Source organism: Homo sapiens, chromosome 12 (assembly GCF_000001405.40).
Source record: "Homo sapiens chromosome 12, GRCh38.p14 Primary Assembly".
NCBI lineage: Eukaryota > Metazoa > Chordata > Mammalia > Primates > Hominidae > Homo > Homo sapiens.
Window position 1 is genome coordinate 22045027 of NC_000012.12, and position 1008 is coordinate 22046034.

Consider the following 1008-nt stretch of genomic DNA (forward strand, 5'->3'; position numbering starts at 1 on the left):
AGATCACTTGAGGTCAGGAGTTCAAGACCAGCCTGGCCAACCTGGTGAAACCCCCAACTCAACTAAAAATACAAAAATTATCTGGGTGTGGTGGTGCCCCTCTGTAATCCCAGCTACTCAGGACGCTTGAGAATGGGTGGCAGAGGGTTGCAGCGAGCCGAGATTGTGCCACTGCACTCCAGCCTTCTGGGGGACACAGTGAGAATCTGTCTCAAAAAAAAAAAAGAGTTTAAATGATGCCTCCAGAATTCTTTCTCTTTAATCCCTACATGTCATTGTTCTGCTTCCTCAGGGAGAACATCAGTCTTCCAGCCCATTTCAGAACAGCAAAGCCCCCCTGCCGCCCTACCCTACCCTTGCCCTGAGGCTTCAGGTTAACAAGGTCCTTAGCACCCAGTCAGCACGAGAAAGATCCTTTCTTTCCAAGACTCTCTGGAAAGGACTCCAGTGGGCTCTGCTTGGTCATATGCCTGTCCCTAGACCACAGGTGTGTTAAGGAAAATGGGGTGCGTAGATGGACCAGCTTGGGTCACACACAGTGCAGAGAATGTGAGGGAAACCCTCACCGGATGAGAGAGGGATCAATTCCTAAAAGGAAAAGATTTTTAGCAGACAACAAAACAAAACCAAAAAACCAAGTGTCGGCCACACTAGAGGTGACCAGTAAAGCTGACTTCCAAATTTCTGCTGCTAGGGAATGCTGATGTCGATCAAAGTGCGGAGAGCATATGAAAAATGGAGTTTTTAAAACGTTGAGTTTAAGGCGCCTGTAGGATATTTGAATGAGCTGGTCAGTAATTTCTTGGAAAAAATGACCCAGGGGCATTAAAAAAAGGTGTATGTTTAAAATGTACATTTTAAAATATAAAATGGATTCGTGTCAGGGTGCATCAAGGTATGCAACGGGAAACCCACCACAATTCTAAAGTGGGGAAGTTCTTCAGCAATTATAAATACTTTTTTTCTTTTTTAATTTTAGAAATTTACAGACACTTGCAAGCACCCCAA